General features: G+C 37.8%; 1 long non-coding RNA gene across 7 annotated transcripts in view; it reads right to left on the bottom strand.

Moving 5' to 3' along the window:
* The window catches only part of ARL14EP-DT (ARL14EP divergent transcript), a 279977-nt gene that overhangs the window by 17031 nt on the left and 246613 nt on the right, over nucleotides 1–16333 (bottom strand). The window contains exon 5 of one of the 7 annotated variants that reach the window (NR_187436.1): nucleotides 7668–7793. The exons of the other annotated variants lie outside the window; for them this stretch is intronic. This is a non-coding gene — a long non-coding RNA (ARL14EP divergent transcript). The remainder of the gene's footprint in view (nucleotides 1–7667; nucleotides 7794–16333) is intronic. 7 annotated transcript variants of the gene reach the window in all.

Below are 16333 nucleotides of genomic sequence, written 5' to 3' on the forward strand. Positions count from 1 at the left end.
AACTTCCTGTAGGTGCTATCCTCCAACATCCCACCAAAACTAATAAGTGCCACATTGCCAAAGACATGGCCAACCTTGTCTTATTAGCCCCAGGAAAATAATTTGATAGGCTTCATCACTCTTTCTTCCTTCACACACTTTCTTCTTTCGGTTGCCAAGCCAACACAGTTACCTGGATTTCCATTCTCTGAACTCTTCGTGGGATTCTTTGCTGGCTCTTCCTCATATCCTTTTCCTTTTCATGTTGGAATGCCACTGGTCATGATCTTTAAACTCTGTTCTCTTCTCTGTCTACCTATTGCTTTTATGGCCCCATTCAATCACATCTATTTACTAATGACTCCAAAATTGATATCCCCATCCTGGATATTTAATCAGAACTCCACACTCAAATATCCAACTATCTAATATTTTCACATAGATATTTATTAGAAATTAAAAACGATATTTCCAAAACAATATCAGAAGCATGATCCAAAAAAGTATAAAGTTGATAAATTGAATGTCATTAAAATGAAAAACCATTGTACCACAAAATGCTTAATTAAGGAGGCATGTTCTTGGCATATTTGAGTAAGAACCTGAAAATTCTATTCCTTCATAAAGGCAATAAAAACCTTGGCAAAATTTGAATAAATCAACTTTCTCAGAATTCAGGATATTAGGCAAAGTCTTACAAAAATCCAAGGAGTGTTTGCTACTTTTTTAAAAAAAGTGAATCTCAGTAAGAACAATGAGTTTTGTGACATTTTAACTTACCCTATTTCTATTACCCCATCTCCAGCTCTGCAACAACCTTGAAAATAAATAGTCTCACAACCATGAGAGCTGCAAAAGACAGCAGACCAGCAGCCAACAGATGGGGAAAAATTGATATTTGGCATTTCTAAAAAGCCCCATACCCTGAGAACTAATACTAGTTGACCTGTCTGAAAATGTTCTCAATAGCTCCATTCTTAGAGTTTATGTTTATTTGACCTAATTTAAAGCTCACTCTGTGCAAACAGTCCTATTCCTAGGTCATTTGTCAAAAGCAATCAGGGCAATTATTTAATATCACAGCAGTTTCAAGTATTAATATCTGTAGAGACTTACAAGAGGCTCCACAGAAGACTTAAAGGGAAAAACTGAGGAATGAGATGGCCATAGGGGGTTTATAAGCTTGTGAGAATCTGTAAGGCCACATACATGTGCAGATTGTGCTTATGCCCAGGAAAAACCGAAGAAGGCTCTAATCTTTTCCCTCTGGTTAACCTCCAGGCTCTGTTCAAACAGGGAGTATAAGCTAAGGCTGAGCGGTAAACTGCCTAACTCAGCATTGAAGGTATGCCTCAACAAACACACAGAAACCCTACACAGATTAGGAGGCTAATTTGTTCAAAGAATTTAAGAAAGTCTCAGTCCAATAATTATCTGGCCACTAAGATAACTGAGCAAAGACTACATTACAGTGCCAGACTATTCACACAGTGGCAAAACTATATACGACAAATAATACAGACCTTACAAAATTAGTCCAGGAAAGTCACTAAACAAACCATCAACTAAAGCAACAACAACAAACCCTGGAGAAAAAAAAATTGGATTTCCAATGTTACTACTTATGCTATTTAAAATGTCTAATTTAACAAAAACTAAAATTGTGAGACAAACAGAAAAAGTATGGTGCATATGCAGGAAAAAAAAAATCAGTCAATAGAAATTTTCCCAGATAAAGCCCAAATGTTGGACTTAATAGGCAAAGACTTTAAATCATCTATTATAAATATATTTAAAGAAAGAAAGGAAACTACATCTAAAGAACTAAAGAAAAGCATAAGAATGATGAGAATCAATATACATAAGTATTCCACAGTTGAAAAGTACAAAAGCTGAAGTGGTTATGGGACTCAATGGCAGATTTGAACTGACAAAAGAAAGAATCAGTAAACTTGAAGTCAGGTCAATTGAGATTATGCAATGTGAGGGACAAAAAGTAAAAAGATTGGAGAAAAATTAACAGAGCCTCAGAAACTGTGGGACATCACTGAGTATGGCAACATGTGCATAATGGAAATCTCAGAAAAGAAGAAGAAAAAACAAAGAAGCAAGAAAAAATATTTGAAGAAATAATTATCAAAACTTCCCAAATTTGATGAAAAACATTATAAATGTACGAAACTCTAAAATCTCTAAGTAGGATAAACTCAAGCAGGTCCACACCTATACACATCATAAAATGCCTATTGAAAGACAGAAATTCTTGAAAGCATCAAGATAGAAGAGGCTTATGTACAGGGAATACTCCCTAAGATTAACAGATGACTTCTCATCAGAAAGCATGGAGGCCAGAAGGAAGTGGGATAGTATGTTCAAAGGGCTGAAAGACGAAGACCTTTAATGAAGAAATTTATTTTTTTTATTATACTTTACGTTCTAGGGTACATATGCACAACGTGCAGGTTTGATACATAGGTATACATGTGCCATGTTGGTTTGCTACACCCATCAACTCATCCTTTACATTAGGTATATCTCCTAATGCTATCCCTCCCCCAGGCCCTTTGTCAGATGGGTAGATTGCAAAATTTTGCTCTCATTCTATAGGTTGCCTGTACACTCTGATGGTAGTTTCTTTCGCTGTGCAGAAGCTCTTTAGTTTAATTAGATCCCATTTGTCTATTTTGGCTTTTGTTGCCATTGCTTTGGTGTTTTAGTCATAAAGTCTTGCCCATGCCTATGTCCTGAATGGTATTGCCTAGGTTTTCTTCTAGGGTTTTTATGATTTTAAGTCTAACATTTAAGTCTATAATCCATCTTGAATTAATTTTTGTATAAGGTGTAAGGAAGGGATCCAGTTTCAGCTTTCTGCATATGGCTAGCCAGTTTTCCCAGCACCATTTATTAAATAGGGAATCCTTTCTCCATTTCTTGTTTTTGTCAGGTTTGTCAAAGATCAGATGGTTGTAGATGTGTGGTGTTATTTCTGAGGCCTCTGTTCTGTTCCATTGGTCTATATCTCTGTTTTGGTACCAGTACCATGCTGTTTTGGTTACTGTAGCCTTGTAGTGTAGTTTGAAGTCAGGTAGCATGATGCCTCCAGCTTTGTTCTTTTTGCTGAGGATTTCTTGGCAATGTGGGCTCTTGTTTGGTTCTATATGAACTTTAAAGTAATAAATTCCAATTCTGTGAAGAAAGTCATTGGTAGCTTGATGGGGATGGCATTGAATCTATACATTACTTTGGGCAGTATGGCCATTTTCACGATATTGATTCTTCCTCTCCCTGAGCATGGAATATTCTTCCATTTGTTTGTGTCCTCTTTTATTTCATTGAGCAGTGATTTGTAGTTCTCCTTGAAGAGGTCCTTCACATCCCTTGTAAGTTGGATTCCTAGGTATTTTATTCTCTTTGAAGCAATTGTGAATGGGAGTTCACTCATGATTTGGCTCTCTGTTTGTCTGTTATTGGTGTATAAGAATGCTTGTGATTTTTGCACATTGATCTTGTATCCTGAGACTTTGCTGAAGTTGCTTATCAGCTTAAGGAGAATTTGGGCTGAGACAATGGGGTTTTCTGAATATACAATCATGTCATCTGCAAACAAGGACAATTTGACTTCCTCATTTCCTAACTGAATACCCTTTATTTCTTTCTCTTGCCTGATTGCCCTGGCCAGAACTTCCAACACTATGTTGAATAGGAGTGGTGAGAGAGGGCATCCCTGTCTTGTGCCAGTTTTCAAAGGGAATGCTTCCAGTTTTTGCCCATTCAGTATGATATTTGCTGTGGGTATGTCATAAATAGCTCTTATTATTTTGAGATACGTCCCATCAATACCTAGTTTATTGAGAGTTTTTAGCATGAAGGGCTGTTGAATTTTGTTGAAGGCCTTTTCTACATCTATTGAGATAATCATGTGGTTTTCATCTTTGGTTCTGTTTATATATGGATTATGTTTATTGATTTGCATATGTTGAACCAGCCTTGCATTCCAGGGATGAAGCCGACTTGATCGTGGTGGATAAGCTTTTTGATGTGCTGCTGGATTTGGTTTGCCAGTATTTTATTGAGGATTTTTGCATTGATGTTCATCAGGGATATTGGTCTAAAATTCTCTTTTTTGTTGTGTCTCTGCCAGGCTTTGGTATCAGGATGATGTTGGCCTCATAAAATGAGTTAGGGAGGATTCCCTCTTTTTCTATTGATTGGAATAGTTTCAAAAGGGATGGTACCATTTCCTCCTTGTACCTCTGGTAGAATTCAGCTGTGAATCCATCTGGTCCTGGACTTTTTTGGTTGGTAGGCTATTAACTATTGCCTCAATTTCAGAGCCTGTTATTGGTCTATTCAGAGACTCAACTTCTTCCTGGTTTAGTCTTGGAAGTGTGTATGTGTCAAGGAATTTATCCATTTCTTCTAGATTTTCTAGTTTATTTGCATAGAGGTGTTTATAGTATTCTCTGATGGTAGTTTGTATTTCTGTGGGATTGGTGGTGATATCCCCTTTGGCATTTTTTATTGCATCTATTTGATTCTTCTCTCTTTTCTTCTTTATTAATCTTGCTAGTGGCCTATCAATTTTGTTGATATTTTCAAAAAACCAGCTCCTAGGTTCATTGGTTTTTTGAAGGGTTTTTTGTGTCTCTATCTCTTTCAGTTCTGCTCTGATCTTAGTTATTTTTTGCCTTCTGCTAGCTTTTGAATGTGTTTCCTCTTGCTTCTCTAGTTCTTTTGATTGTGATGTTAGGGTGTCAATTTTAGATCTTTCCTGCTTTCTCTTGTGGGCATTTAGTGCTGTAAATTTCCCTCTACACACTGCTTTAAATGTGTCCCAGATATTCTGGTACATTGTGTCTTTGTTCTCACTGGTTTCAAATAACATCTTTGTTTTTGCCTTCATTTCATTATTTACCAGTAGTCATTCAGGACCAAGTTGTTTTGTTTCCATGTAGTTGTGTGGTTTTAAGTGAGTTTCTTATTCCTGAGTTCTAATTTGATTGCACTGTGGTCTGAGAGAGAGTTTGTTGTGATTTCTGTTCTTTTAACGTTTGCTGAGGAGTGCTTTACTTCCAACTATATGGTCAATTTTAGAGTAAGTGTGATGTGGTGCTGAGAAGAATGAATATTCTGTTTATTTGGGGTGGATAGTTCTGTAGATGTCTATTAGGTCTGTTTCTTGCAGAGCTGAGTTCATGTCCTGGATATCCTTGTTAACCTTCTGTCTCATTGATCTGTCTACTATTGACAGTGGGGTGTTAAAGTCTCCCATTATTATTGTGTGGGAGTCTAAGTCTCTTTGAGGTCTCTAAGGACTTGCTTTATCAATTTGGGTCCTCCTGTATTGGGTGCATATATATTTAGGACAGTTAGCTCTTCTTGTTGAATTGATCCCTTTACCATTATGTAATGGCCTTCTTTGTCTCTTTTGATCTTTGTTGGTTTGAAGTCTGTTTTATCAGAGACTAGAATTGCAACCCCTGCTTTTTTTTGCTTTCCATTTGCTTGGTGGATCTTCCTCCATCCCTTTATTTTGAGCCTATGTGCATCTTTGCACATGAGATGGGTTTCCTGAATACAGCACACTGATGGGTCTTGACTCTTTATCCAATTTGCCAGTCTGTGTCTTTTAATTGAGGCATTTAACCCATTTACATTTAAGGTTAATATTTTTCTGTGTGAATTTGATCCTGGCATTATGATTTTTGCTCATTATTTTGCCCATTAATTGATGCAGTTTCTTTATAGCATCAATGGTCTTTACAATTTGGCCTGTTTTTGCAGGGGCTGGTACCGGTTGTTTCTTTCCATGTTTAGTGCTTCCTTCAGGAGCTCTTGTAACGCAGGCCTGGTGGTGACAAAATCTCTCAGCATCTGCTTGTCTGTAAAATATTTTATTTCTCCTTCACTTATGAAGCTTAGTTTGGCTGGATATGAAATTCTGGGTTGAAAATTCTTTTCTTTAAGAATGTTGAATATTGGCCCCCACTTTCTTCTGGCTTGTAGGGTTTCTGCTGAGAGATCCACTGTTAGTCTGATGGGCTTTCCTTTGTGGGTAACTCGACCTTTCTCTCTGGCTGCCCTTAACACTTTTTCCTTCATTTCAACCTTGGTGAATCTGATAATTATGTGTCTTGGGGTTGCTCTTCTGGAGGATTATCTTTGTGGTGTTCTCTGTATTTCCTGAAATTGAATGTTGGCCTGCCTTGCCATGTTGGGGAAGTTCTCCTGGATAATATCCTGCAGAGTGTTTTCCAACTTGGTTTCATTCTCCCCATCACTTTCAGGTACACCAATCAAACGTAGATTTGGTCTTTTCACATAGTCCCATATTTCTTGGAGGCTTTGTTCATTTCTTTTTACTCTTTTTCTCTAACCTTGTTTTCTCACCTTATTTCATTAATTTCATCTTCAATCACTGATACCCTTTCTTCCACTTGATCAAATCGGCTATTGAAGCTTGTGCATGAATCACGAAGTTCTCGTGCCATTGTTTTCAACTCCATCAGGTCATTTAAGGTCTTCTCTACAGTGTTTATTCTAGTTAGCCATTCGTCTAATCTTTTTTCAAGGTTTTTAGCTTCCTTGCAATGGGTTTGAACATTCTCCTTTAGCTCAGAGAAGTTTGTTATTACTGACCTTCTGAAGCCTACTTCTGTCAACTCATCAGTCATGCTCCATTGCTGGCAAGGAGCTGTGATCCTTTGGAGGAGAAGAGGCACTCTAATTTTTAGAATTTTCAGCTTTTCTGCTTTGGTTTCTCCCCATCTTTGTGGTTTTATCTACCTCTGGTCTTTGATGTTGGTGACCTACAAATGGGGTTTTGGTGTAGATGACCGTTTTGTTGATGTTGATGTTATTCCTTTCTGTTTGTTAGTTTTCCTTCTAACAGTCAGGTCCTTCAGCTGCAGGTCTATTAGAGTTTGCTGGAGTTCCACTCCCAACCCTGTTTGCCTGGGTATCACCAGCAGAGGCTGCAGAACAGCAAATATTATTGCCTAATCCTCCCTCTGGAAGCTTTGTCCCAGAGAGGCAGCCGCCTATATGAGGTGTCTGTCGGCCCCTACTGGGAGGTGTCTCCCAGTTAGGCTACACGGGGGTCAGGGACCCACTTGAGGAGGCAGTCCGTCCGTTCTCAGAGCTCAGTGCCATGCTGGGAGAACCACTGCTGTCTTCAGAGCTGTCAGACAGTGAGGTTTAAGTCTGCAGAAGTTGTCTGCTGCCTTTTGTTCAGCTATGCCCTGCCCCCAGAGGTGGAGTCTAGAGGAAGTAGGCCTTGTTGAGCTGTGATGGGCTCTGCCCAGTTAGAGCTTCCCAGCCACTTTGTTTACTTACTCAAGCCTCAGCAATGGCGGATGCCCCTCTGCCAGCCAGGCTGCCATCCTGCAGATTGATCTCACACTGCAGCGCCAGCAGTGAGTAAGACTCTGTGGGAGTGGGAGCCACCAAGCCAGGCACGGGAGAGAATCACCTTGTCTGCCAGTTGCTAAGACTTTGGGAACAGCACAGTATTTGAGCAAGAGTGTCCCATTTTTCCATGTAGTCTGTCACAGCTTCCCTTGGCTAGGAAAGGGAAATCCCCCAACCCCTTGTGCTTCCCGGGTGAGGCGATGCCCCACCCTGCTTCAGCTTGCCCTCTGTGGGCTGCACCTACTGTTCAACCAGTCCCAATGAGATGAACCAGGTACCTCAGTTGGAAATGCAGAAATCACTTGTCTTCTGCATCAATCCTGCTGGGAGCTGCAGACCGAAGCTGTTCCTTTTTGAACCATCTTGGAACACCCTCCTTATGAATAATTTTATATCTGGCAAACCTATCTGACAAAAATTAAAGAGAAATTAAGACAGTGCTAGGTAAACAAAAACTGAGAGAATTCATCCCTACCAAACCTACCCTACAAGAAAAACTAAAGGGAGTCCTTTAGGAGAAATGAAAACAAACTAGAGAGTAACTCTAATACGAAGAAATAGAAAGATTAATAAGGGTAATTACATAGGCAAATATGAGAGATAGTATAAATATATTTTAGTTTGTAACACTTTTCTTCTTGCATATGGTTAAAAGACATAAAACTGTGTCAATGTGCTTGAAATGTACTAATAAGTAATATGTATAATAATAGCACACAAGTAGGGAGGCAATGGAGCTATAGGAGAGCAAAGCCGATGTATACTATCAAAATTAAGTTGTAAGTTTGAATCTGTAATAGATTGTTTTAAGTTAAGATGTTAATTGTTTTGCACAAAGCTTCTGCATGAAGCCCTAACACAACCCCTTTTGCTCAGGTCATCAGAACACTTATTCTATTTTATGGAATGAAGTGTTGCCCAGTTCTGAAATCACAATAAAGCCAATTAAGATCTTAATTAAGTTTGTTGTAATTTTGTCTTTTGACACCAATTACTTGGTGAATGGATAAACAAAATATGACATATCCATACACTGTACTGTTCAGTTATAAAAGAGAATGAAATATCAACACATTTTATAACATGGCTGAACTGCAAAAACATTATGTGAAGTGAAACCAGCCAGAAGTAAAGGACTACATATTATACAATTCCATTTATATGAAATCTGAAGAAATGTCAAATCTATAAGAAATCAAATTAGTGGTTGACTGGGGCTGGAGAAGGGAACAGAGATTAATTGTAAATATGCTAAAGGGAAATTTTCATGATTAAATCTTCTCAATTGGATTGAGAGAACTGTTGCACAACACTGTAAATTTACTAAAAATTATTGAATAAGATGTTTAAAATTTGTGATTTTTTTGGTATATAAATTATACCTCAATACATGTAAGTATACCTTAATATGTAAAATTCATAAAAGTTATAAGCATCATCCCATCTATCATTTACTTGCTTTAAAATTATTCAACAGATTCCTAATGTTCTTAAGCAAATTTCAAAATCCTGCATACTCAAGTCCCTGCTTGTGCTTCCAGATTTATCTGACCCATCTTTCCCTTCTCATTGTACACCAGGCCCCCTGGCTTTATTGACTTTCTCTTGTTCTTTCAAAAGCTCTACTTGGGGCCAGGCATGGTGGCTCATGCCTGTAATCCCAGCACTTAGGGAGGCCAAGACGGGCAGACCACGAGATCAGGAGATCAAGACCATCCTGGCCAACATGCTGAAACCTCGTCTCTACCAAAATACAAAAAATCAGCCAGGCATGGTGGTGCGCACCTGTAGTCCCAGCTACTTGGGAGGCTGAGGCAGGGGAATTGCTTGAATCTGGGAGGCGGAGATTGCAGTGAGCCAAGATTTTGCCACTGCACTCCAGCCTGGCGACAGAGTGAGACACTGTGTCAAACAACAACAATAACAACAACAACAACAAAAATGCTCTACTTGGTTCCTTTCTTACTCAGATCTTTGTTCTTCCTTCCTTCTTAAACATTTTTAGAGGTATAATTCATACCCCCAAAACTGCACATATTTAATGTCCACATCTTGATGAGTTTGGACATACGGGACATATGCACACACCAACGATACCATCACTGTAACCCAGGTACTAAACATATCCATTACCTCCAAATTTTCCTTGTGTTCTTTTGTGTGTGAGGTTTTTTGTTTTTTTTTTTTCTGTCATTTGGAGTTTTTTTCTTTTTGGCAAGAACACTTAGCATGAGACCTATGCTCTTACATTTTAAAGGATACAATACCATATTGTTAACTACAGGTATATTTTTTCCCTCAGATCTTACAAATGAGCTATCCTCTCTGCCTGCAAAGTGCATCCCACCCTCCCTTTTCTCTCTATTAAAGAGACATCTCACCAAAACACCACCAGTTGTGATCATATTATCCTCATTGTTTATGTGTATTATCTTCTTTGTTTATGTGTCTGTTTCTCTTGCCATCAGGGTAGTGACATTTTATCTCCCAGTGTCTAGAACAGTGTCTGGTACATGGTGTATGTTCAACCTATGTTTACCTAATTAATGAACATAAAAGAGTCTTGTCCTCAGCTCCTATTCTACTATCTCTGCTATCATCTTTCAGTCTCCCAACTATCTACTTGACAGAACTAGCATAGTGTAGTACCAGTTCACCTGTTCAATCTCAATTTCAAAGACGGATCTTCTCTTTAACATTTAGATTCTCATAAGAGACATTGATCTCAGTAAATTATTGTTCTTATTCTATATCCCAATTCTTCTTCCATTATTTATCCTTAAAATTGGTTGTTGGCCCCTGATACAGAACACTTTTTCTTGTCAATGGACATATGTTGTTATGCACAAAACAAGCAATTGTTTGAGTCAGTCAGTTTAAAGATGAAATTCAATATTTGGTCTCACACGCTATAACCCCTGGTTGCCAGGGAAAACATGGGAGACCTCATTTCTGGGAATTGTATTGATTTCATTTCATTTGCTGCTTTGGAAGCCATGGGCATAAAAAAGAGTAAGCAAATAACAAAGGAGCTTAATGCTTCGAAAACTCAGAGGCACCATTTTCTAAGTCATTGTCAACCCCCATCCAACTACTGGTATCTGTGCAGATTTTAAAATGAACCCATGTTGTTTGCCATAAGTCTTATTTTAAACATGAAAAGTGCAAATCAATACATGGAAGTGGGCTGCAGGCAACCGTGAAAATGGGAAGTCCATTCCAGGCCTTGCAAAACTTTAAGCAGGGCTTCCAAACCCAAGCTGGCCCTAGTAACTGTTTTCCCAGCCCTCTCTCAAAGTAAGGAGAGAAGATAGAAATGAAAGTTAGAGGACTTTTGCCTTAAGAACCTACAGTGCATTAATTTCAAAATTCCTTTCTCTGTACCCTTTGGTTCTCCCCACATGGAGGTGAACACTCCTCCTCTTATTTCTTGTCCTCCGTGATGGAGCCTATTACACCAAATTTAGCTGTGCGGATAAAAATTTGCCTCTTGTGCTTAGAAGGCAAAAGTTTAGTTTTACCTATTGATACTTAAACACTTCCAATCTAAACTCATTTTATTTTAGGTAGCCAAATTTAGAGTTCTTCTCTCCCCCTTTCTCTTGGGAGATTATCTAAATTTCTAGCATAATTACTTATCATCCTCATGTGAGGAAACCAATGGCTCTGTTGGTGTCCATGGCTGGTGCCTATTGCCCATTTTAAGGAATAGAGATAATAATTTTACTCAGAAACCTTTTCCATCTCCCCTCCCAATCCTTGTTTACTTGGGTCATGGCTCTGTCTTCACTGACATGACTGAGATCTAAGACTCTGCTCTACTTACACTCAGGCTGTGTCTTGGACTTCTCTTGGTCTCTGCTATGGGGTTTTCTTGACCCATTAGAGACACATAGCAGGAACCTTGGTTCTAAACTCTTCCAGGTTTCATTTCACTCAGGCATGTGGAGACTTTTAACCCTTATTCCCTGATAGGCTGGGTGCATTCTGCATTCAGAATGCTACAATTCTCCCCCAGCTCCCCTCTGCATTTCCCCCAATATGTATCCTAATAAGCATATATTCCCTGTCCATTCTTTGGAGTTCACCTGAGTCTGGCATAGCAGATCAGGAATCCTGTTAAATAAGGCTCACAGCTCAGTTGCGTTCAACTAGCAAAAATCCTAAGCATCCTTTTCTGCTTGATTTTAAATTTGACATGTTGGGAAGAGGAGGTTGCTTTCATAGAAACTTTTGCTTCTTTAATTAAATGAGAGTTTTGCTAATGACAGGATTCTATTAGTCACAATCTTTTACTAACAGATAGCTATTTATTTTATAAACTCAAATAGACTTTTCCTTTGAGCCAGTCTCAGTCAATGTTATGAGGTGACGGTTTGGCAATAAGAGGGCTCAGATAGTCCCCAGTGGTGATAGGGGAAAAACCCTCATCCGAAAGTACTGTTCTAAATAATTCGTATACAAAGCTTGTAAGCTTTGCTGCTTCCTACCAGGGAACAAAACTAGAAATGGGCTTGGTGAGAAGCTGTTCTGGGAGGTTCCTGGCATACCTTTAAACTACCTATAAAGGAGAGGGCCGTTGTAGACATAGCATGCAAAGAAAAATATGTGGTTTCACTTTTTTAAGGGGAGAGGCAGTTTAAAACAGATTCTTTGTGTACTCTATTGAAAATACTGTGTGTTTCTTATAAAAGGCTCTCTTTTCCACATAGAAACTGACACTCTCCTGCTCTCCTATTGCAGTTACAAAAATTCCGATATGGGAAAAACATTCTAATTCAGTCCAGAATTGAGCTTTCTACGTCATTTGAATCATGCCACAGTAGCTTCCACCTCTGTGTGTGCTAAGAAAACAAAAACAAAAACAAAACAAAACAAAACCGTGTTGACTAATGCTCCTTCTGAAAAAAAAAGACCACATAGTAATTACCTTTTCCTTTTTAAAAATGGAACAACAGTTACCCTTTGTAGATCCATAGCACCTACAGAGCTTAAAACATTCTCTAGGCAAATTGAGAATGTACTATAATCCTAACCAGAAATAAAATGTAACAGTGTTCCCACTTTATGAATATGAAAACGAGATATGGAAAGAGAAGAAATTTCAAATCATACAAATATAATAATAACTCATATTTAGTGAATATTTAATAAGTGGTAAGCACTGTTCTAAATAATTCATGAACAAAACTCATTTAACCCACATCACAATCCTGTGAGGTTACTATTACTACCCTCCATTTTTACAGATGTACAAGCAGGTATAAAGCAGTTAAGCTACTTGCTTAAGGTCACAAAGACTATATGTGATAGAGTTGGGATTTGAACCTTGGCAGCCTGAGCCCATTGTCAACACTCAACAATACACATGCTGCCTTTTTAATACATGTGTAGTGAAGCTTCGTCATATAGCAAACTGAAATCCGGTTTCCATATTAAGTGGCATTTAGCTATTCAGTGTGTTTTAAAATAAAAAAAATAGGATTAGAAATTGTTCTTGGCCAGGTGTAGTGGCTCACAGCAGTAAGCCCAGCACTTTGGGAGGCCAAGGCAGGAGGATCACTTCAACCCAGGAATTCGAGGCTGCAGTGAGCTATGATCTCACCATTACACTCCAGCCTGTGTGACAGAGTGAAACCCTATCTTAAAAGAAAAAAAAAAGTGTTCTCTGTGATGGCAAATGAGGAAAAATTTAAGAAGGAAACCAAACAGATTTTCAAAGATTTAAACTGCCCTCCGTATAGAGAGATTTAAATATAAGAGATAATAGCAATGTAGCTGGGCTTACCACTTTCTAGAAATTATTCTTTATAAAATAAACTCAAGGTTTTGTTTTGCTGAAATGTTATTTATCCATTCTAAAGAACTTTGTCAATTGAATCAGATGAAATATAAATATATATGAGAAGAACTTATGTTCATTTAATAGTTTATCAGTTTACTAAGTACCTCCCTATAGGCATCACATTTTTTATTTGTTCTTTTGCACAGTTGAAGAAGCAGAGGCCCAATGAAATAAGTGTCTTGTTCAGGGTCACACAGCTGTGAAGTTATATGATTGTGATGTAAATCAACTCCATTTCTCTTTCAACTATACATATGGGATATTTTAGCACTTTGCCACTTATAGAGTGTTTTCATGTATGCGTATTTACCCTATTCTTGTAGTAGCCCCAGGGGGGTGACAGTGTATAGCATTGAAGAATATGGACTTCCAAGTCAGATTGCCTTTCTTCAAATTCTGACCCTGCCATTTAGCATGTGACCTTAGACAAGGTACTTAATCTTTTGGTGTTTCAGTTTACTCATCTCTTAAACAGGGTTAAAATACTATCTATCTTGCAGAGAAGAGGGGAGGATATGTAAGTATTAATTGAGATGCTATAAGGAAGACACCTGGAGTAGTGCTTGGAACAAGATAATATACGTGGGCTTTTACACTCAGTGTACGTTAATGCTTACATGGAGAAAAGCTTATTGTGTCAATTTTTTTCAAAATATATTTTTTCTTTCGAAAAAATAAATTTTATTGTGTATTGAGGTTTACAACATGACGTGATGGAATACCTATGGATAGTAAAATGATTATTATAGTGAAGTATATTGACGTATCTATCATCTCACATAATTCCTTTTTTGTGACAAAAGTCACTAAAATCTATTTATTTAATGAAAACCCTTAATACGATCTTATCAACTTTAGTCTCATATTATACATTAGATGTCTAAACCTGTTCCTCCTAAATAGCTACTCTTTTGCATCACATGACCTATATCTCCCCATCTCCTCTCCCCCAACCTCCTTCCCCGTCCATTGTAACCTGTTTCATTTTCTATCTCTGTATATATGAGCTTTTTTTAAGAAAAATTATATTTCACTTGTAAGTGAGATTATGCAATATTTTTCTTTCTGAGTCTGGCTTACTTTATTTAGCATAATGTCTATGTCCAAGCAGATTCATCCATGTTGTGGCAAATGGCAGAATCTCCCTTTTTAAGGCTGAATAATATTTCATTATATGTATGCCACATTTCCTTTATCCACTCATCCATCAACAGACATTTAGGTTGTTTTCATATGTTAGCTATTGTGAATAATGTTATAATAAGCTTGAGAGTGTGGATTTCTTTACAAGGTGGTGATTTCATCTCCTTTGGGTATACACCCAGAAAAGAAATGACTGAGTTGTATGGTAGTTCTATTTTTAACTTCTTCAGGAACCTCCATATTTTCCATAATGGCTGTATCAATCTACATTCCCACCAACATTGTACTTATTTGTGGCCATTTTATACATAAAAGAACTGTGGTTTCAAGTTGAATGACTTGCCCATTGAAGTGGAATCCAAACCCAATTCTACTGACTCCCAACCTACTTCTTTCTCACTGTACCAGCTTGTTTTATGTAAAAATCTAGGCTTTACTGAATTTTATCCAAGTTGGACAGTTATACACAGGGGTTCTAAATCAGGCATCCATCTGTGGAATTCAGGGTTTCTGAGAACCCCCTACAATCATATGAAAAATGTACCTCTGTATATTTTTCTAGAAAAGGGCTTTTAGTTGCCATCAGATTCATAATAAAGGTCCAACACCCTTAAAGGTTAAGGGCCATTGATTTTGAGGTAGTATAGCATAATGTTTAAGATTCTAGGCTTTGGAAATGCCTAAGTTCATATGACAGGTGTAACACCTAATAGCTCTGTGACTATGGGCAAATTACATAATTTCTCTGTAACTTTATTTTCTTGTCTGTAAAAGAAGCATGATAATTTGCAAGGATTAAATTAGTTCAAAATTTATAAAAACACTGAAAACACTGCTTTGCACATAAAAAGCTCAATTTAAAGATTGCTAATATCATAATTGTTGTGGTCAGGGTATACATAAAAAAAACAACAGGAATTTGTCCACTTAGGAAGTGAGTTATTAATGTAGATCATATCTGTGAGAACTCAGCACTGTGCCTGGTCCAATGCAGTGGTACATGAAACCTCACCTCTTGGTTGTCACATCCTGCTCTTGAGTGGGATTTATTGATCAACTTCTAATGAATCAAATTAGGCACAAGTGGTGGGATATCACTTCTCACATTAGATTAGATGCTCTCTCTCTTTCCTTGGGGAGGTCACCTTCCATGTCATCAGGCAGTGCAGTGAAAAGATCCACGTGAAGAGAAACTGAGGGAAACCCCCAGTAAGCAGTTAGCAAGGAAATGAGGCCCATAATCAAACATCTCTAAGGAATAGAGGCCCACATGAACACACTTGAAGGAAAATCTTCCTCCAGTAACATTTTCAGGTGAGACTTCAGACTCAGTCAACAGTTGGCTGCAACCTCCTGAGAGAACTTAATCCAGACGCCCTCAGCTAAACCAGGCCCAGATTTCTGACCCATAAACAGCAAGATAACACATCTTCACTGTTTTAATCCACTAAATTTAAGAGTAATTTTTTAATGTAGCAATAGATGACATACATGTGCCAAGTACTTTATAGACATTATTTCATTTAGATTTCATAACCACACTGTGATGTAGAGATTGTTGCCCAGATTTACAGAGGAAGCCTGGAGAAATCAAAAGACAAACCAGTCTGGTAGTGAATTTTGCCTGACTTCAAAGCCCATGCTCTTTCTTTGCCAGGATATTAATTTCGTTCACCCATTTTTGAGATTATTTTAATTTGTGTAAATTTTGTTTTTAGTAATTAAAATAAGAATTACTAAAGTTATTCAGGAATAAAATTCAATATGGTTTTGAAACATATTATTGGTCTGTATTTTAACCAGAAGTTGGAATGGTGAGTAGCTCTCATTTAGCAAGACACTAGGTTTTGCCAACATTTATGCTGTAGGGAATAGGATCTAAGATTTTATGATCATCAAATTATTAACTCTAAATCTGGCCTCTTTACTTCAACCTCTACATTATTACTGTAACTT

Source organism: Homo sapiens, chromosome 11 (genome assembly GCF_000001405.40).
Source record: "Homo sapiens chromosome 11, GRCh38.p14 Primary Assembly".
NCBI classification, from domain to species: domain Eukaryota; kingdom Metazoa; phylum Chordata; class Mammalia; order Primates; family Hominidae; genus Homo; species Homo sapiens.